The sequence below is a fragment of the Homo sapiens genome, chromosome 9, assembly GCF_000001405.40.
Source record: "Homo sapiens chromosome 9, GRCh38.p14 Primary Assembly".
NCBI classification, from domain to species: domain Eukaryota; kingdom Metazoa; phylum Chordata; class Mammalia; order Primates; family Hominidae; genus Homo; species Homo sapiens.
Genome location: NC_000009.12, coordinates 113,539,795 through 113,560,062, shown reverse-complemented (window position 1 = coordinate 113,560,062; position 20,268 = coordinate 113,539,795). Strand labels below are relative to the sequence as shown.

Sequence of the window (20,268 nt, the reverse complement as noted above, 5' to 3'; positions counted from 1 at the left end):
AGTCCCTTTACTATCTCTGAGTCTCAGTTTCCTCATCTGTAAAATGGGCCTCAACGGACCCTGAGGAGGACTAGACGACGTGGTGTATGTGGAATGCCTGGTACACAGTAAGTGCTCAATAAATAAGAGCCATCATTGTTATTGCTATGATGTCATTGTTGCTATCATCTGTGAAAAGACAGAATTCACCTTGAGAAGGTTAATGTAAATGGTAAAATTAAATGTGATAACACCTGTTGAGGGGCTAACAGATGAGGGCCTGGCGTGTACTAATAGCTGAGAATCATTACCATTTGTTGATGAATAGGCTATTCTCATCATGCCCAGCTTACAGATCAGGAAACTGAGGTACAGAAAGGTTACAAGGCGGAAGCCCAGCAGGCAGCATGGCTCCCAGGCCCATGCTCTTAACTGTATATTCTGCCCTTAATCTCTTATTCCCCAAATGTCTCCCCCTTGCTATCTGCCTCTTTCTCAGCAACTTGAGACCGCAATGGATGATTCCCAACCTGCTAATGGAAACGGTGGCTCCCAACCCAGCAAGGAGAAGCCCACACGCAGCAAAAGCCAGGAGACCAAATGTCCCCCTACAGAGCTAGCCCAGAGGCCTGCTGCTGGCTGGCTTCTGCCTCCATCCTGGGGCACGCCTTGCAGTCACCTCAGCAGTATCAGTCTGACCTTGGGCAGCTGTAGCAGCTCAGGATGGCTGGGAGCCATGACTGTCTCCCTTCCTGGCTCCGGTCCAACCAGCCACATGCTGGCCGGAGACTTCGGGCTTTTGGGAGCAATCCTCGACCCACTGTGCTTGTGCCAGCTCCAGGGCCAGGCTGTGTCCTGTCAGCCCATGTTCCTGGGAAGTGTTCAGCACAGAGCCACTGACTCAGCTACGGGGAGGCCAGGCCTGTGACCTTGGTTGCTGGAAACAGTTCTCCACACACTCCCCTGGGTCCACCCACTGTTTGGACTGTTGGGCTTGAGCCCAAGCCATCAAAACAAAGGGTCAGTGGGGGAAAGACTGAAATGCTAACTTTGCTGCTGCCTTCTGCGAACCCTGGGGCAAGGCCAATCCCCCCCACCACCTCCAAGCCTCAGTTTCCCTGTCTCTAAAATGCACTGGGGTTGAACTAGATCAGTCCACTCAAAATGTGGTCTGCAAAATCATATGGGTTCACAGGCTGCTTGTTACCAGTCTGCAGTGAGATAGGTAGCAAGATTGATTGTGTTTAAAGAACTTCAACTTGACATTGCCACCTCTAAGCATGAGATGAGTGGACTGGTCTCACTGAATAGGGCATGGGCTAGCTCAGGTGTTCTCAAGCCTGCATAATAAATCACATGCAGTGTGATGCTACAAAATGTCAAAGCCCCTCACCACAGGTAGCTTAAGGAGCCCTGATTTAAATGGCTTTGTTTCATGAGAACTCACTAACTTGGACCCTATCATGATACTTACACATACAGTGGGACTCGATCCTGCCACCCAAACCACTCCCCTCCACTGCTCCCAGCTCAGAGAATGGCACCATCTGTTTCCCTGACCTAGACTTTTTTTTTTCTTTAGGAAGGAGTTTCACTCTTGTTGCCCAGGCTGGAGTGCAATGGCACAATCTCAGCTCATTGCAACCTCCGCCTCCCAGGTTCAAGCAATTCTCCTGCCTCAACCTCCCAAGTAGCTGGGATTACAGGCGCCCACCACCACGTCCGGCTAATTTTTTGTATTTTTAGTAGAGACAAGGCTTCACCATGTTGGCCAGGCTGGTCTCGAACTCCTGACCTCAAGTGATCCACCGCCTAGGCCTCCCAAAGTGCTGGGATTACAGGCGTGAGCCACTGTGCCTGGCCTGAGCTAGACTTTTGAGCACCATTCTTCTCCCAAACACTCCCCGTGCAATTAATCACAGAATTTTGCAGACCCCTCCTGCTATACATCCTGTGGATCTCTCACCTCTCTCAATCCCTGGTGCCTCAGCCCTAGTCCAAGCAACCATCGGCTCTCCCTGGCCGAGGCCAATAGCTCCACACTGCTCCCTGCCTCTCGACTTGCCTTCCTCCTCACCATTCTCTATGAGGCCAGCATCAGCTTTCTACAACACCCATCAACCCCTGCACTCAGGATAAAGTCACACTTCTTCCCACAGCTTCTCAAGACCAGCACTGTCTGATCCTGAACACACCTCAGCCTCATCTCATGCTCTGTTCCCCTTCCTCGTCTTCCCACCTATGCTGGCCTGCGTTAGGGTCCCCACCTAGAACAATCCTTACATCCCAAGCCTCCCCTGCCTCAGAAACTTTCCCCAGGTCCTCCCAGTAGGCGCTCTCATTAGGCCCTTTGGCACAACTGTCATCGATTTTTCATATGCTGTTCATGATTGGTGTCCTTGCCCCACACTGGACCCCACATTAGACTGTCAGCTCTGTGGGGTGAGGACCATGCTGGTTGATGAGCCGAGAAGTAGACGACATCTGAGATCTGCCTGACCAGACCCCATTCACTTGAGGAACTAGCCTTCCCTCTCTCATTCTCAAGCCAGGTGATTCACAAGGAACCAACCCATCTCCCACTCCAGGGAGAGGCATATGGCCCAGGCCTCAGTCCATTAGTTTAACCCATCCCACTGTCCTCAGTGGCTGGAATGGGCACGTGATCCTACTTGGGCCAATGAGGATCAGGCCCAGGGACTATTGATGAAATGATTGAGGGAGTCCAACTCCAAGGCCATGGCCATAACCCTGGCCCTTCTGGCAGCAGCACTGCTACCACTAAGGGAGTGAGCCAACACCTAAGTAAATAGAACCAAGAAATGAAGAGGCTGAGGCCTTCTCAGTGACATTGCTCAAGGCTCTGAATCCAACTAGGCCTGAAGGCTACCCTCCCTAACCCAGTAAATTCCATTTACTCCTGGAAGCTGGGTATTTGTCACTTGCAATTGGTAGATTGCTGACTAATGCATACTGCATCAACAGTACTTAGCACAGTGTTTGACACACATTAGGCACTGTAAACTTCTTTGCTCACTCATACAGTCATTCAACAAACACTCAGCAGTGTGAAGGTGACTGCGTGTGTTCTATAAGAAGAGTCATCGCAGCTGCTGTTGACAGAGGTGACTACATGGACAGGAGTAGGAAGAGGGAGACCCACAAGAAGCAATGCAGCAGTCCCAGGGACAAAGAGGAGGCCTGAAGCAGGTGGCTGAGACCAAGGGAAGAGGAGGGAGGGAAGAGTCCCAACTCTAAATTCACTGGAGAACCTCTGACAATCCCTGCCCCTCTCTGGCCTCAGTAGCCCAGTCTGTTTCAGATCCATCATCCTAGCATCCCCAAGCTTTCCCCCACTGATTACAGAGTCCCTGCCTGTCGACACTCAACATTGTCACTACAGAGTGCTGGGGGGAAGGGCAGGGTGGGCTCTGGGGTTGGGACCCGACAGGCAGGGAGTATAGTTTAGCAGCTAAGGACACGGGCTCTGGAGCCAGGTGCTTGGGATTAGAACCTGGCCTGCACCTCCTAATTATGCGACCTTGTATAATCTGCTCAATCTCTCTTTTCCTTTGTTTTCTCATCTATGAAATGAGGATAATAACAATAGTGCTGGGAAGATTATATATTATCACAGAAAGAAAGCACGCTTTAATGTTAGGCACCATTATTATTATTATTATTATTTGTAGTAGGAAGTCCAGAAAGAGGAGATTGAACACACAGAATAGAAACCATTCCTAAATTAATAGAAAATTTCCCTGAACGAAAGGAAGACTTGGGTCTTCAGACTGAAAGGACTTACCTAGTTAGGACCAGGAAAAATTACCAAAAGAAAACAAACAACTAGAAATCATCTGGGGAAATTTCTGAATTCCAAAGATTGGAAAGAGGAATCCTGGTTGTTTCCATAAATAAATTTTAGAGAATCAAGGAAAAACTGCTCTTAAAACACTAAATACTGGGGAAACCACAGAACACTGCTCTCAGGCTTCTGGGAGAGAAGGACGATTCACTTAGAATTTTCTACTCAAGCAAACTATGACTCAAACATGAGGGCAAATGTTTTCAGGCTTACAAGGATAAGAAAGGATACCACCCACAGACCCTTTCTGGAAAAATTACTCAAGAAAGCTCTACAGACAAAAGTGAATTAAAATCGAGAAGTCAAGAATGAGATGACGTGGTATGTGAGAGACAGAGGCAAGCCATGAAAACGGAAACATTTAGAGCCTTAACTACTGATAACTGAAAGTTAAGTGCAATTTTAAGTAAATAATTCTTAAAACAGAATAGTGCTAATGTTTAAAAATAGTCACAACCGGCCAGGGTGGCTCACGCCTGTAATCCCAGCACTTTGGGAGGCCAAGGCAGGCAGACCACGAGGTCAGGAGTTCGAGACCACCCTGACCAACAGGGTGAAACTCTGTCTCTACTAAAAATACAAAAATTAGCTGGGCGTGGTGGCGGGCGCCTGTAATCCCAACTACTCAGAAGGCTGAGGTAGGAGAATCGCTTGAACCTGGGAGATGGAGGTTGCAGGAGCCGAGATTGCACCACTACACTCCAGCCTGGGCGACAGAGCGAGACTCTGTCTTTAAAAAAAAAAAATAGTCACAACCGGAAACCGAAATTCCAGACAATTATAACAATACCTAGGAGGTATGGAGGAAAGCAGAGAAGTATGGTCCAGCCGACATGATCATTATGGGTTAGAGGCCACGAGGACAGGCTACTATGGATCTGGTGTCATTCCTGATGTTGAAATATGTTTGTGACAAAGGTAAGGGTAAAGCCACTAGCAGACTAGAATTAGGGTGTATAACTCCAAAGGAAATTTTGCAGAATAATAGGGGTTGGCCTTGGGATGTTTACTACTAAACCATATTCTGAAGCTAAAGTCATTAAGTCTAACCTGATGTAGGAATAGACAGATCAAAGAGGGAGATGAGAGAGCTTAGAAACCAAACCATCCATATGTGGAAATTTGGTCTATGATAAGTGAAGAAAGGAAAGACAATTCAAAAAAATCGGGTTGGAAAAACTGGTCAAACCATTTGGGGGAAAAAATTAATAAGAGTTCCATCTGACACCAGGCATTAAATTAATTGCAGATGAATTTAAAATGTAAATGCAAAAAATAAAAGAATAAAAGTAGCTGAATAAAATTTAGATGAATATTTCTCATAATCTAGGGGTAGGAAAGACCTTAGAAAATATAGGTGCTCTCAACCCCCCAAAAAAACTTGATTATAAAAAAAGTTAACTTCTAAATGATAAAAGATACTATAAAGTTAGAAGGCAAATGACAAACTAGAAAAATAATTATAACCCATATAATAAGCAAATGGTTAATAGTCTAACCACATAAAGAGCTCTTACAAATGAGATAACGCCTCAGTAAAAAACTGGGCAAATGACATGAATGAACTGACAAGCCAAAGCAGAAATATAGGTGACTGATCAACATAAAATGAGGCTGGACGCAGTGGCTCACGCCTGTAATCCCAGCACTTTGGGAGGCTGAGGTGAGTGGATCACTTGAGGTCAGAAGTTCAAGACCAGCCTGGCCAACATGGTGAAACCCCATCTCTACTAAAAATACAAAAATGTAGCTGGGTATGATGGCGTGTGCCTGTAGTCCCAGTTACTCAGGAGGCTGAGGCAGGAGAATAGCTTGAACTCAGAAGGTGGAGGTTGCAGTGAGCCAAGATGGCGCCACCGCACTCCAGCCTTGTGACAGAGCAAGACTCCATCTCCAAAAATAAAACAAAATGAATCTCAACCTCACTAATAATGAAATAAATGTCAATTAAGATTAAATATAATTTTTCACTTCTTGTACCAACAAAGAATTAAAAGCAATAACATTCCATTTTATGCAGGGTGTAGGGAAGCAGGCACTCTCATTCACTGTGAGTAGGAATGCAAATTGTACATGTACTTAACCTCTGTTCCTTTGGTTTCTCAACTATAAAATAGGATAAGAACAATAGTGTTGGGGAGATGACATGTGTAAACAGAAGGAAAGCTTTTTTAGAGCACTTCGGTAGTGTGTGCCACACTCTCTCCTAACAGAAAAGTGCGGCAAGATGTTTATTGCAACATTGTTCAGAATATCAAAACATTAGAAACAATCTAATCATGCATCAATAAATTAAATACATTATGGTCCACTGGCTATTCAAAATAGAGGGAGAAGTTTAGGTGCTGATGGAAAATATTTCTTTCTTTTTTTTGGAGACGGAGTTTCTCTCTTGTCGCCCAGGCTGGAGTGCAACGGCACAATCTCGGCTCATTGCAACCTCCGTCTCCAGGGTTCAAGTGATTCTCCTGCCTCAGGCTCCCCAGTAGCTGGGATTACAGGCACCCAGCACCACACCTGGCTAATTTTTGTATTTTTTAGTAGAGATGGGCTTTCGCCATGTTGGCCAGGCTGGTCTCGAACTCCTGACCTCAGGTGATCTGCCCACCTCGGCCTCCCAAAGTGCTGGGATTACAGGTGGGAGCCATAGCGCCCAGCCACGAAAATATTTCTATAATTATATAATATATATTTCTATAATATATTTATATATAATATTATATATACATATATATATATATATATATATATATATATATTTTTTTTTTTTTTTTTTTAAACAGAGTTTCCCTCTGTTGCCCAGGCTGGAGTGCAGTGGTGTGATCACAGCTCACTGCAGCCTTGGCCTCTCAGGCTCAAGCGATCCTCCCACCTCAGCTTCCCAAGTAGCTGGGACTCCAGGCACATGCCACCATGCCTGGATAATTTTTTTTATTTTTTGTAGCGATGGGGTCTCACTATATTGCCTAGGCTTGTCTTCAACTCCTGGACTCAAGTGATCATCCCACCTCAGCCTCCCAAAGTGCTGTGATTACAGGTGTGAGCCACCATTCCTGGCCTATATCTTTATAGATGAGTTACAAAAATGTATGTATAATATGATATTATTTAGTAAAACAAAACATAGCATATGTCTACATATGTGCATGGGGGAAAATTTGGAGGAACCACATCAAACATATATTAGTAATTATTGATTGGAAATGGGCTTGGGGAATGGGGGTTTTATTTTATTCAGTTTAGTAATGTTTAGAATTTTTTGGTACAAGTTTTGTGCATGTATATTACCAGTTAAAAAACCAAATATAATGCCAAATAAATATTTTCATTTGTAATATAAATTAAAACTTTAAATTCCCTCAAATAAATTTAACAAAAAATGTGCAAGACCTATATGAAATTCTTTCTAAAACTTTGGGAAATCTTAAAATTTGCATAAATGAGGAGACACATCCTGTTCTCAAATGAGAAGACCGTATTGTATAGATTTTAATACTCCCCTTTTAAATGTATAGTTTGAAATATAATTACAATAAAAGTCTCAACGATATTTTTGGGAGGGGCAGGGAGAAGATAAGGACTGAATTATAAAGCTACAATTAAAAAGTACACTGAATTTCATTTAAAAGAATAAATACTTTGGGAGGCCGAGTCGGACGGATTACGAGGTCAGGAGATGGAGACCATCCTGGCTAACACATTGAAACCCCGTCTCTACTAAAAAAATACAAAAAATTAGCCGGGCGTGGTGGTGGGCACCTGTAGTCCCAGCTACTCTGGAGGCTGAGGCAGGAGAATGGCGTGAACCCGGGAGGCGGGTCTTGCAATGAGCCGAGATCACTCCACTGCACTCCAGCCTGGGCGACAGAGTGAGACTCCGTCTCAAAAAAATAAATAAATAAATAAATGTATGAGAAGAGGGGGGAAATAATTTTTAAAGAAAACTAATAAGAGGGTACTTGTCCTAATATAATGCATAAGAATTGGAGCAAATAACTATTTGGGAAAAATGAAAAGTAATCTGCCTCATACTATATGCAAAAGTAAATTCCCAATTGATTAAAATATTAAGAGTTAAAAAATAAACCATAAAATTAAAAGGGAAAAAAGTGAATATTATATAATCCTAGAGTGAATATCATACGCCAAAGGCAATAATATTTTTCAAGATTTATAGTCATTAAGAAAATGCAATAAAAACCATAATGAGATACTACTTCACTCCCACTAGAATGGCTATAATTTTTTAAAATGAAAAAATAGAGTTAGTGAGGATTTAAAGAAATTGGAACCCTCATATACTGATGGTAGGAAAGTAGAATGCTACAGCCACTTTGTTTATTTATTTATTTTATTTTTTGAGACAGAGTCTCACTCTGTTGCCCAGACTGGAGTGCAGTGGCATGATCTTAGCTCCGTGCAACCTCCACCTCCCAGGTTCAAGCAATTCTCCTGCCTCAGCCTCCTGAGTAACTGGTACTACAAGTGCCTGCCACCACACCCAGCTAATTTTTGTTGTTGTTGTTGTTGTTAGTAGAGACAGGTTTTCACCATGTTGCCCAGGCTGGTCTTGAACTCTGGACTCAAGCAATCGGCCCACCTCAGCCTCCCAAAGTTCTGGGATTACAGACATGAGCCACCACGCCCAGCAGTACATCCACTTTGGACAACAGTCTGGTAGTTTCTCAAAAAGTTAAACATGAGTTACCATTTGGCCCAGCTATTCCACTCCTAGGTGTACACCTAAGAGAAAAATATATGTCCATACAAAAAACTTGCACACATATATGTATAGCAGCATTACACAGAATAGCCAAAAGGTGTAAACAACCCAAATGTCCATTAACTGATGAACGGTTAAACAAAATGTGATATTCCATACAACAGAATATTATTCAGCCATGAAAAGGAATTAGTTGCTGATACATGCTACAACATGGATGATCCTGAAAACATTAGACTAAATGAAAGAAGCCAGTCACAAAAGTCCAAATATTATATAATTCCCTTTATATGAAATGTCCAATATAGGCAAATCTACAGAGATGAAAAGTATGAACTAGTGGTCGCTTAGGGTTGGAGGAGATGGGGGAAATAATGGATGATAGCTAAGTAGTATGATTTCTTTTTGAGATAATGAAAATATTCTAAAATTGATTGTGGTGATGGTTACACAAGTGTGTGAATACACTAAAAATTACTGAATTGTGTACTTTAAATGGGTGAATTGTATGATATTTGAATTAAATCTCAATAAAACTACTCTAAAACAAATGATAGATATGACTAATAAGTCAGAAACATCTGTAGTTTAAAGAAATAATAAAAATAAAAGGCTAACACACAAATATCCTTATTATATAAAGAGCTCTTTGTGAATTAATAATTAAACTATAAAAATCCCAATAGAAAAATGAGCAAAAGACTTGAACAGGCTATTCCCAAAAGAGGCAACACAAGTGACCAGAAGGCATATAAATAAATATTCAACATCTCTAATAACGAAAAAAAGAACCTATTTAAAAATGTAACAATATACCATGTTGGTAATGATGAGGAGGAATAAACATTTTCTTATCCAGACTATCTCGGTTTACTTGATTTGATTGAGGAGTTTCCTGGCAAGCAAGATTTTCAATGCTAAAAAGGGAAAAGTCCCAGGCAAAGTAGGATGAGCTAGTCAATTCAGATGAGATTAGAAATCAGTACAACCATTCTGCAGGGTAATTTGGCAATAGGATCAATAATCCATTTTATAAATATATAACCTTTGACCCAGAAACTCTACTAACAGGCATTTATTCTAACAAAACATTCATTCATTCAACAAATATTTGTTTATTTAGTTCCTTTTTGAGATGAAGTTTCACTCTGTTGCCCAGGCTGGAATGCAGTTGACACAATCTCAGCTCACTGCAACCTCCACGTCCCAAGTTCAAGCGATTCTCCCACCTCAGCCTCCCCAGTAGCTGGGACTACAGGCATGCGCCACCATGCCTGGCTAATTTTGTATTTTTTGGTAGAGACAGGGTTTCACCATGTTGGCTAGACTGGTCTCGAACTCCTGACCTCAGCGATCCACCCACCTTGGCCTCCCAAAGTGGTGGGATTACAGGCATGAGCCACCGCGCCCAACAAATATTTATTTAGAGTCGAATGCGTACTAGGTGTTGAACTGGATGCTGGGCATGCCAAGATACACCTAAGAGGATTTTTTTTTCATTCAGAGACAGGGTCTCACTGCTGGAGTGCAGTGGTGCAATCATAGCTCACTGTAACCTCAAACTCAGGCTCAAGCCATCTCCCATCTCAGCCTCCTGTACAAGGATTTTTATCTGAAATTTTTGTAACAAAGAAAAATTGCAAGCAACCTGAATGATAAACAACTGAAGATTACTTAAATAAAGCACGTTTCATCTACACAATGAAATACTCCACAGGCACTGAAAATGATGTTGTAGAAGAATATTTATTGAAATGGAAACATGGATACACTACGCTGTTAAATGGGGGAGAAAAAGCAGGTTAGAAAAATTGCACCAGTAACCCCAATTTGCAAATAAGATATATGTGTGTATAAACGAATGCCTGACAGGACACATTCCAAAATGTTAACAGTGGTTTATCTCTGGGTGCTGGGATTAAGGATGAACTTCATTTTCTTCTCCTGGTTCATCTGTATTAAATGTTTTCTTCATAATAAACATCAATCACATGGATTACTTTTGCAACAATACAACAAAAAAAAAGTCAACTGCATTCAAACAAACAAACAAACAAAGAAAAAAAACACCTTCCCATGCCTCATGAGTGGAGGCCCCAAGGAAGGGGGTTATAGAAAGTCAGATACATGTTCACTGCTTGGTTTTGCAACAAGAGCTACTATTAAGTACCTACTGCATGCCAGGCATTACAACAGATCCCCTTTGATCTTCACAAGACCCCAGTGAAATCAGCGTTCTTGTCTCATTTTACAGATGCTCTGTGACCCATCAGTAATCCCATGGCTAGTGAGAGGAAGAGCTAGGATTTGAACCCTGGCCTGTCTGTCTCTAAACCTGCAGGAGGCTGCTACTACCTCAGCTGCCTCTGCTTGTTCCTGGGGAGGGGCAGGGAAAGGTCCTGAGCCACTGAGGCCTCTGTCCTGCAGGCCAGATCTAGGCTGGCCCTTGTCCTCCCTCCCTGCAGACAGTCCAAAGAAAGGAGGACAAGTCAGCAAGGGAGGGGACACCAGCAAGAGGAGGTGTGGCACTGGACAGCCGGCTGGCTGAGGTCAGGGCTCAGGGTGGGCCAGCTGGGGACTCCTCGCCTGCCAGGCGACTCTCAGGAAGCCTGACCACATCCGGTCCCAGGAGTTCCCAGTCTCTGTGCGCCCAAAGGCAGTGACAGCAAACCTCAGCACAAGGCCTGCAGCCACTGTGCTGAAACAGCCAGGGAAAAACAGCCTGCCAACTGGGCCCTTCTCTCTGGGCTTGCTTGACACCAGCCAGTGCTTTCTGCTCTCCGGGCCTCCAGGGCCTCCTCGCCTGTATGAGGAGGGGGTGTGAGGGCTGATGGCTCCAGGACTCTCCCAGATGGAATTATGTGACTCCATGGGACTTCCTCACATCGGGCCTGGCAGGAAGAGGAAGGGGGTGAGGCCTCCCCACCCAGCTCCCGAAGGAGCCCCCTCCTCTTCCCCTCAGCTCTGTTCCCACTGCTATTTTTAGAACAGACCACAGGGAGTGTCTCCACCACTCCAGCCATGCTCCTAGCTGCAGGTAAAACACAGCAGCCCCATTCATTCTGCTCCAACAAGCACATGCCAGGAATTTACAGATAAGCCAGAGGACTAGACAACCTCTCCCCACGCCACTAGCTGAGCTGCTTTCTCAATATTTCCATTACAGCCCAACACAGTGACTTACATTTCCCAAGGCCAACACAGTGAGTTGCTGAGTGAGACAACCCTAAGACCGTCTGTGACCCCTTTCCTGCCCCCAGCCCAGCAGAATCTTCAGAAGTCCCCGACTACATGCCCTTGGCCAAGTTTTTGCCTCTTTCACTTGGTTTCTACAACCTAGCTTGTTAATCAATTGATCTCAGTGGGGGAAGGAGGAGGCTTTCCAGCTCCACATTCAAAGTTTCTATGGTTCTACCAATATTCTAGTCACTCATAAAATAAATACTATATTCCCAAAGTCCACCTAAGTATTGATTACAGGCCTCTGAATGCATTTTCCCACTCAAAAGTATGTTATAAATGGTGGTCAGCTTCCTAGGCCAGCCTACTTAACCCTTAATAGTCTTCCATCAAGTAGAAACAGTAGAAAACCATATAGCAATAATAGACTTCAACCAAAACAGAAACACACTAACACTTAGGACAATTTTTTTGAATTTATCTTGGGTAGTGTTATCCCAGCAAAAGTGGGTAGGTACTAAAGGTGATGAAAAAGCCAATGGCAACTTATCGGGAAGAGTCTGAAGGAGACTTCTGACCACACCAGAAATGAAAGGACTGCAAACCAGTGACCACAAATTCCACGCGGAAATTAGCCTGATGGCTTGGACTGGGAGTTGGAAAGGTTAAAGAATGTACTTGCATACATATTAGGTTGGTGCCAAAGTAATTGCGGTTCTTGACATTGCTTTTAATGGAAAACACCACAGTTACTTTTGCACCAACCTATATACACGTGAAGTTGAAACAAAAGAGTTCAATGTGTATACTCAGCCACCTGAGCAGAAAGGAAGGAGGGAAGGGGAAGATATTGGGTTGGAGAGCCCGTCTTGTGCTGGCCTCCAATGGGGGAGGCTGGAAGAAGCACCTCTAGGGGAGAGGAGGCAGTAATGTGCTCATAATTTGGGTGTCTGTGATGAGGACCCCTTTCTGTCTAAATATACCTATGTGTGATGAGTACATTGATGAATATTCACCAGGAACAACATTTGCATAGGGCCATACACATACACTCTGTTTCAATGTGAAAACTAAAATGCCTGTTCCCTTTCTTCTTTTTGCCTGGTATTAGAGTACCGAGGCTTTGCAGTCTGCCCATTCTCCCCTCTGAAATCCCTCATGGAAATGTTTCCATGGACCACCTATGTGTCTCAAGACAGTGACTGTGATGAAGAACCTAGCCAATTCTCCCCCTAGATCTGGATCTCCACCTTTTCTGAGGGGAGTAGCTACTTTATCCTCATCTTTATTGTTATATCCTGATATTCTGGAATCAGATGACTCCTGGAGACCATCTGAATTCAACTCCCTCATTTTTCTTGGTAAAGGAACAGAAGATCAGAGATGTGAAGCAATTTGCTCAAGGTCACACGGTGAATACCAGCAAAATGAGGACTCGAGGCAAGATTTTCAGAATCACTCGCTGGTTTTCTCTGTAAGCAAGGGGCTCGGTGAGAGGTGAGCCCCGCAACCTACAGCAGCAGCTCCAGCTGGGCTTCCTTTCCCTCTGGGAATTCCCCAGTGTCAGCATGGGAACACAGTGGTATCCATGACCCTGAAGTGAACCTGGTCAGACCTTCATAAACCAAGTGCAGATCCATGCTCTGGTCTCCACAAAGCTGAGGTGCAACAGAAAAAGCTCTGAATCCAAAGAATCAGGAGACCTGAGCTCTAGTCCTGGCTCTGACACTAACTTTTCCCATGACCCTGGCCAGGTCACTTCTCTTTTTGCACCTGTTTCCTTGTCTAAATTCTAGAATATAGGAGAGTTGAACTGGACAGCCTAATTCAATCCTACAACCTCTACTGAGCACCTACTACGGACCGGACAACAATAGAATCAAAGACAAATAAAATATAACATCTACTTGCTCCGAAGAAGCTCACAGTCATCCAGATGCTAAGGATGAATTGTGCTAAGGGGGAAAAAGTACTCTGGGAACCACGAAGGGGGAAGTCAGGACTCCTGATGCATGCCTGAGAAAGGTGTTCTCAGAGGAGCCACTAAGCCTTGAAGGTTGAGGATTGCATCCAGCAGGGACAGCCAAGGAGGGCAGTCAACGTCAGGCAGATCAAACACCCTAACTGTGAATGTGCACAGTGAGTTTAGAGAAGGGGAAAATTTATGGTGTGGCCGGGCTCCAGGTGCAAAGCAGGAGTGTAGTGCTACCAAGGAGAGCCTGGAAAGCCAAGCTTTACTCTGAAGACAGTGGCCTCCCACAATGGTCTTTAAGCAGGAGTGTGACAGTCCAGTCTCCCTGGCCCTTCCAGCTTGGATGGTCTGCAGTTACAGGAAAGCCATATAGCAAAATAATCAAAAGCAGGTACCCTGGAGCTGGGCTGTCCAAGTTTCAATCCTAGCTACCCACTAGCTGTGTGACCTTGGGCACGTTTCTTAACTTCTCTGAGACTCAGCGTCTTCATATCTAAATTGGGCATAATGAGAGTAAATGTATAACAGGGGTAACACACCTTGTAAGTCTGCATGAGGATTAGATGAGACAGGGTAGGTAAAAAGCTTGACCCTGTGCCTGGCTCATCTTGTAAGTGCCCACCAGGTTACCTTATGTTATCATTCTACCTTTAAAACCAAGGATCTGGGAACAGTTTGGAGGATGGATGGCCCTATTCAGAGAAAGTCTTCGAGGAAGAGAAGGCGAAGACAGGATAGAGGGTAAGGTTGCACTGTCTTCTTCAGGGGCTAAAAAAAACAATAGCAAGATGGCTGAGACCAAGAGCAAGACAGCGAAGAAGGCAGTCTGTCCACTGATAGGACAGCAGCAAGGAATGGGGAGGAGAGCTGGTGGCTGCCTGGAAACAGTTTTTAGGGAGAAGAGTCTGCATCTCTTAGGGGAGATGGCTGAAATCAGATCCATTTGATTCCCCTTTATTCAGGGCTGAGATACTAAATCAGTCAATTAGCAAAATCTGCGCACAAAACCTGGCAGGTTCCACATGGGCAGGCCCTCTCTGTGCCCTCAGCTGGTCTCAGGTCAAAGGCCTCCTTCCAGTACTTACGCTGGGCACAAGCCAGCCTGAGCCTGAAGCTATACCTCTCTGCCTTTGGCTAATATTCCATCACTGCCAAGCACTCCATGACTCTGTCTGCTGATCCTTTTGATGCCAAATTCAAAAGGGGAAGGGGTGTAACCTAACCATTCCAGAGCTCCCTGAGAACCTGTCTTAAGGAGCTCAAACTGATCTCTCATTTTAGGCTTTTTTCAAATCTTGTGGGAAGCTATTGATCTTTTCAGCCTGTGCCACCCTCAGGAAAATGCATTCTGGAAGTTTATTCTCCACTGGGTGGAAAATAAGGCATCTCATTTTATTTATCCTAAAAGCATTCCCTCTACAGCTTGATGGGCCACAGCTTCTGACATGCCGGATATCCCTCTCTTGCCTCTTCCTGGAGATTATTGATTTCTCTTACTTCTATCCCTAAAAGACAAACCTTTTTATCAGAAATGAGTGGTAGATTAGGTTCAAAGGCCTTGGCTTGAGGGCAAGCTTGGCCCTTACCAGCTGTGTGACCTAGGATAAAACACTTAACTTCTCAGAGCCTTGGTGTCTTTCATCCATAAAACAAGGCTGCTGGGAGGCTGGGGGGAGATCATGCCTGGGGACCCCAGTTGCCATCTCCAAAGTTTAGGCTCTCACTGTGGGACTTTCGCTGTGGGGAGCCCTTCCACGTTGCAAAATTGCCTGCATTTTCACTTTGCAAAAACCCTCTTGGTGCCTTGGTGCCATGTGTGACAAATGAGGACTTTGGTAATAGAATTTATGGGGAAAAATAAAGAATAAAAATATAAGACATATATAAATAAATGTCATTATTTCCAAAAGGTCTGCAATGTCCCAACCCCCAAATAGCCAAAAGACCCAGGCCAGCAGAGATCCAGGCCTGATGGCTTACAGGATAGATGAAGAGTTTTAAAAGAACCAGAGCCTGAGACATAAAAAGAAAAAAAAAAAAAAAACATGAAAATGGGATCAGAGGGTCGGGGGTGTGTGGGGAACTAAAAGAATCACTTTGTATTCAAGTTGCACAGATGGTCTTTCCAACAATAAATGGTTGTGCTCCCATCTTCCCAGCTCCTGGGCCTGAGACACCAAACCAAGACAATTAGCCCATCAGGAAAGAGGCCATTGTGTGCTTCTTAGCATGATTTATGTAGCAGGGAGGGGCTCGGCAATGCTTCCCGTGATTATAGCTCTCAAGTGCAATTTCCATAGCTTGTTCATCATCCTGGACAGCTAGGATGGACTGGGATGCTGGACAGCAGTGGCCATCAGGTCATGTTTCATCTTCTCGAGCCTGTGGAGCCAAATTAATTGTTCGATCGATTTGAGAGGCAGAGCAGCAATGGTGCTGTGGCTCACCACAGTCACTGCCCAGGGCCCACCAGGAACTGATGTCCACTTCCCTAACAGCCGGACCTGGGACCCTGATGTGAGCATCTGCTCGACTCAGCAGCTTGTCAGGACAGGCTGGGTGAAAAGTCCTGTCCCCAGGGCTGTGTGCTGCATTCAGACTGTCCATTTCTTTGTGGCCAGAGCTCCTGTCCTCTGCACCTGTCTGGTAGACAGAGGTAGGTCACCAGGTCCAGGAGAGATGAGCTTGCTGCCTTCCCAGACAGGCGAGTCTCCTGTGCCTCACATTCCCCTTAATGTCATTTTGTAAGGGAATCAAATGAAATCAAAGTGCAGCTTGCTGTCTGTGCAGACCCAGCTGCTCAGCCTCTCACAAATCCCCCCCGCGGGCTGAGCCCTGGCAGACAGAGATGCTGTGTATCACTGGTCCCACTTCAGGCAGCGTTTACTCCCTTGCTGGGTGGGGGGCATTGGTCTGGTCACGGGCAGATCCAGCCCATCCCCTGTTAGACTGTTGAGTCAATATGTCTGATCTTTCCTAGGTTGAGAGGAGGATAAGTGGGAAGTAAGGGGTGTATTCTCTTCTAGGCCACCATTTTTGGGGTTCAAGTGGCCATAGCAGCTGAGCAAGCTCACAGGGGCACAAGAACCTTTCTCTAAAGATGCCGAGGTCTTACACAACACAAAGAATGTCCAAGGTCAGGGAACCTCTCTGGCCTCAGCCAGCCCTCAGCCTCTCTGACCCTCTTTTCCTATGCAAGTGACTCTAATCCTCTTGATACCCTTTTGCCCATGAGCCGTGTCCCTCAGACCTGCAGCCTTGGGCTTCCCTCCCTCTAGGTCTGGCAGTTAGATAAGAGTATGAGAGCTGCCCAACCCTGGGCTCCAGCTGGAGGTGCAGCAGGCAGTGAGTGGGCTGGGCTCAAACGGCTGTCCCCTTGGTTGGTCTTCCTTCAGCCCTGCGGCAGCACAGTCTCCACTAGAGCTGCTAGGCCACCCCCAGCCCAGTCCCTGGCCCTCGGAAGCCCCATGGAAAGCATGCGAAGTCAGTTTCCAGGGCACTGTGTGGCAGCTTCCTATCACAATGCTCAGCATGGGACAGAAAGACAGCACAGCAGCCCCTGCTAAGGCCTGGGCAGCAGTGAACTCTCCCACCTGGGCCAGGCTGAGCACTCACTGCCCCCAACTTCCAGGAACACTCCTAGAACTCAGCACTGCCCCCACTATCCCCCACGAGGCCTGGCCAAAAGGTGGCTCTGTGGGGAAGGTCCTAATCCTCACTCACATCCACTGAGAGAGGGGCCATTGAGGAGGAGGGTAGGCAGGGGGATGGGGCAGGGAGTCATCTCTTCTCCAGAGCCTGGCATTCAGGCATCCACTTCCCCAGCCACCATCCAGGACAAGCCACCAGGACAGTCCTCACCTAGAGAACTGAACGAGCCCCCTAACTGATCTCACACCCACTTGGGCCCCTCCTATGTGTAAACGGATCTTGTAAAAATGTACTTGCAACTCCCTTCCTCAAAAGCCTTCAATGGCTCTCCAGTGTATCTAGAATGAAATCAACAAGACATCAACTACCTCACCCACTGTGTCTTGCACCTCACTAAGCTCCAGCCACACTGGCCTGCTCGCCATTCCTCCAGCCCACTGAGCTCCTTCCCATCTCAGGGACTCTCCACGTGCTATTCCATCCACCGCGAACACTCTTCCCCAAGTCCAGGACTGGCTCCTTCCTCTCCAGCCCACAAGTCTCGGTTTAAAAGTTATGTCCTTCCCCATCCCCACCCCCACACACAGCACTCTAAGTACAATTCCCTCTTAAAGAAATCTGTGTTTTTTCTTTCATAGATGATCACAGCTTGCCATCACGTGTGTGCACGTGTGTGTGTTGGTATTGACTTATTTAACGCTCACTCCCAGCTAGACTGAAATCTTGATGAGAGCGAGACCATATCCGACTTTTTCTCCACAGTATCCCCAGCTCCTAGCATAGAGCCTGGCATAAAGTAGATGCACCCGAAATATCCATCGAATGAATGAGCCAATGTGTACAGGTGGAAAATGAGTGGATGGGCGGAGATGTCCTCTGGCAGCAGCAGATCATGGCATTGTTCTTCATCAGGGTGACCTCTCCCAACCTCTCCTGCTGCCCCCAAGGCAGGTCCGGGAGCCACCACTGGAAGCCCAGATGTGGAATGTCCTCCTCCTCCTCCTCCTTGGAAGGAAGAAGCCTCTGAGTCCTCTCCTCTTGGGACTTTCTGCTGCCAGTCTCTGCATGCCCACAAGGCCTCTCACACCATTGTGGTCCTTCTGTTGACATCCACATGCACCCTTGGGACCACTCCCTTCAGATGACCCTAGACCCACCATCTTGGTCCTCTGTTTCAGGTCCAGTTGAGGTGAGGTTACTGTGTGGTAGGGGATGCCCAAGAAAGGGTTAAGTTGCCAGAAGCAGAGTCCCGCCCTTGGGTTTGCTCAGCCAATCAGAGTCTGTCCTGGTGAGGTAAAGCTTCTATCCTGGGTGGCATTGGTTGAGTTGACCGGCCCCATCTCCTGCTGGAGAGAGCCGAAAGGGTGGAGTTTCTGTGGAACCAGACAGAACTGGAATTAGCTCGCTGTCTACTCAGGCCGGGCTGCCTGACTGCAGGACCTGCCTCTGTTCCTTTCTAAGGCACTCACACACCCTGGCATCTCCAGGGCTGTCTCTAGTGGCCCCAGTGGAGATGACAAGGTGGCACGCACCTCACCGTCACATCTGGGAGAAGTCTTAGAGCCAGAGCAGACAAGGAGGCCTCAGTTTCCCTGCCTGGGCCCCTGGAATATGGCAGATGTCTACCAGGAAGTGACATGGAGCAGTTGTCATATGTGCTCCGAGCACCAGCAGCAGCTTCAATGAACAAGGCCCCCGATGAATCTTCCCATATGGACAGCACTTTAAAACCATGACAGTGAGAACGATAGCGGCTAGTTCAGAGCTCCTCTTGCATGCCACTTTGCAAAGCACATCCTGAGTTCAATCCTCACAAGAAGCCTCTTAATCCATCCACTTTACTGATGCAAAAACTGAGTCTCAGAGAGGCTAACTGGCTCACCTGAGGTCACATTGCTTACTGTGTTACTTTGAACTATCTGTCATGTCTGTCTCTGCCACCAGACTGTGATCTCCCGAGGAAAGGGGGTGATGGATTGCTCTGTGCGTCCCTCCCCGTGGAGCACAGGACCTGCCCTGAGAATGGGGCCAGGCCCCACTGCACTGTGTCTGCCCTTCTCATCCTAAAGGCTTGGTTTCCATGCTTCTCAGAAGGCTTCCTGGAGCCCAGCCCAGCACCAGGCACATGAAGGGTACTGAGCAGGAGGCTCACGGCACGGATGATGCTTGGATAGCCAGGACCCCACTGGATCCTTCTTAGGACCCGCAAGCATGGCTTTCATGCTTAGATCACCACTCCAGTGCCCTCCTCATCTCTCTCCTATTAGGAGAATTCCATAGCGACAGGGACCAGGTCTCATTCATCTCTGTGATCCCAAAGGATCTAAACCAGTATCTGGCACTGAGAAGGCATTTATTATGTATATTTGCTTGAATAATCAAAAGAATATATAATTGTCTCTCCCTTCTAGCTTAGAACCTGAATGGCCACAGGTGGGCCCAGCTCTGAGTTATTCTAGATTAGAAGCCTCGCAGCAGTCCCCATGCAGGGAGTTTAGTACAAGGATTCCCAGGCAGAAGAAGAAAGGTAGGCGCCCCCCAGCTACAGATAATGAAGCAACAGAGGGGCAGAGCTCTGAAAAGGAAGGAGCGGGTGATGAACAGGAGTAGGAAGTTGAGACAAGAGAGAAAGTAGTTCATTTATTTCTACAAAAAATGGATACTAGATGGCCCCCGGCCCTCAGCTTTCACGAAAATCACAAAGCTTGGAGAGATAGAAAGAGCCACGGGCCCAGTGCCCAGATGGGACTACTGACACCACAGCAGCCAGCGGCTGCTGAAGGTCCCACAGCAAGGGAGTGACCTCCCAACTGTTCTTTAAGTCCATCTTCCCCTGACTCCCTCTACCTTCCCAACAAGCATATATTTCATCTTCAAGGTAAATTGCACTTATTACGT

The 20,268-nt window shown here is 46.1% G+C and overlaps 1 protein-coding gene across 8 annotated transcripts in view, besides 3 other annotated features; it reads right to left on the bottom strand.

The window, feature by feature from the left end:
• Positions 1–20,268, bottom strand: part of RGS3 (regulator of G protein signaling 3) — a 153,009-nt gene that overhangs the window by 37,676 nt on the left and 95,065 nt on the right. For 2 of the 8 annotated variants that reach the window (NM_017790.6, NM_001322214.3), the window contains one exon: positions 10,295–18,743. The exons of the other annotated variants lie outside the window; for them this stretch is intronic. In NM_017790.6, coding sequence (NP_060260.3) covers positions 18,636–18,743 — 108 coding nt within the window. In that variant the 3' untranslated portion in view covers positions 10,295–18,635. Of the gene's footprint in view, positions 1–10,294; positions 18,744–20,268 lie in introns of those variants that run through there. 8 annotated transcript variants of the gene reach the window in all.
• Positions 16,691–17,206: an enhancer, noted in NCBI's record as "H3K4me1 hESC enhancer chr9:116305137-116305652 (GRCh37/hg19 assembly coordinates)". NCBI's record gives its function as "activates a minimal SCP1, AML or CMV promoter by ChIP-STARR-seq in naive H9 embryonic stem cells {active_cell/tissue: H9 hESC(naive)}" and the evidence as "EXISTENCE:reporter gene assay evidence [ECO:0000049][PMID:30033119]".
• Positions 17,207–17,722: an enhancer, noted in NCBI's record as "H3K4me1 hESC enhancer chr9:116304621-116305136 (GRCh37/hg19 assembly coordinates)". NCBI's record gives its function as "activates a minimal SCP1, AML or CMV promoter by ChIP-STARR-seq in naive H9 embryonic stem cells {active_cell/tissue: H9 hESC(naive)}" and the evidence as "EXISTENCE:reporter gene assay evidence [ECO:0000049][PMID:30033119]".
• Positions 18,447–18,946: an enhancer, noted in NCBI's record as "H3K27ac hESC enhancer chr9:116303397-116303896 (GRCh37/hg19 assembly coordinates)". NCBI's record gives its function as "activates a minimal SCP1, AML or CMV promoter by ChIP-STARR-seq in primed H9 embryonic stem cells {active_cell/tissue: H9 hESC(primed)}" and the evidence as "EXISTENCE:reporter gene assay evidence [ECO:0000049][PMID:30033119]".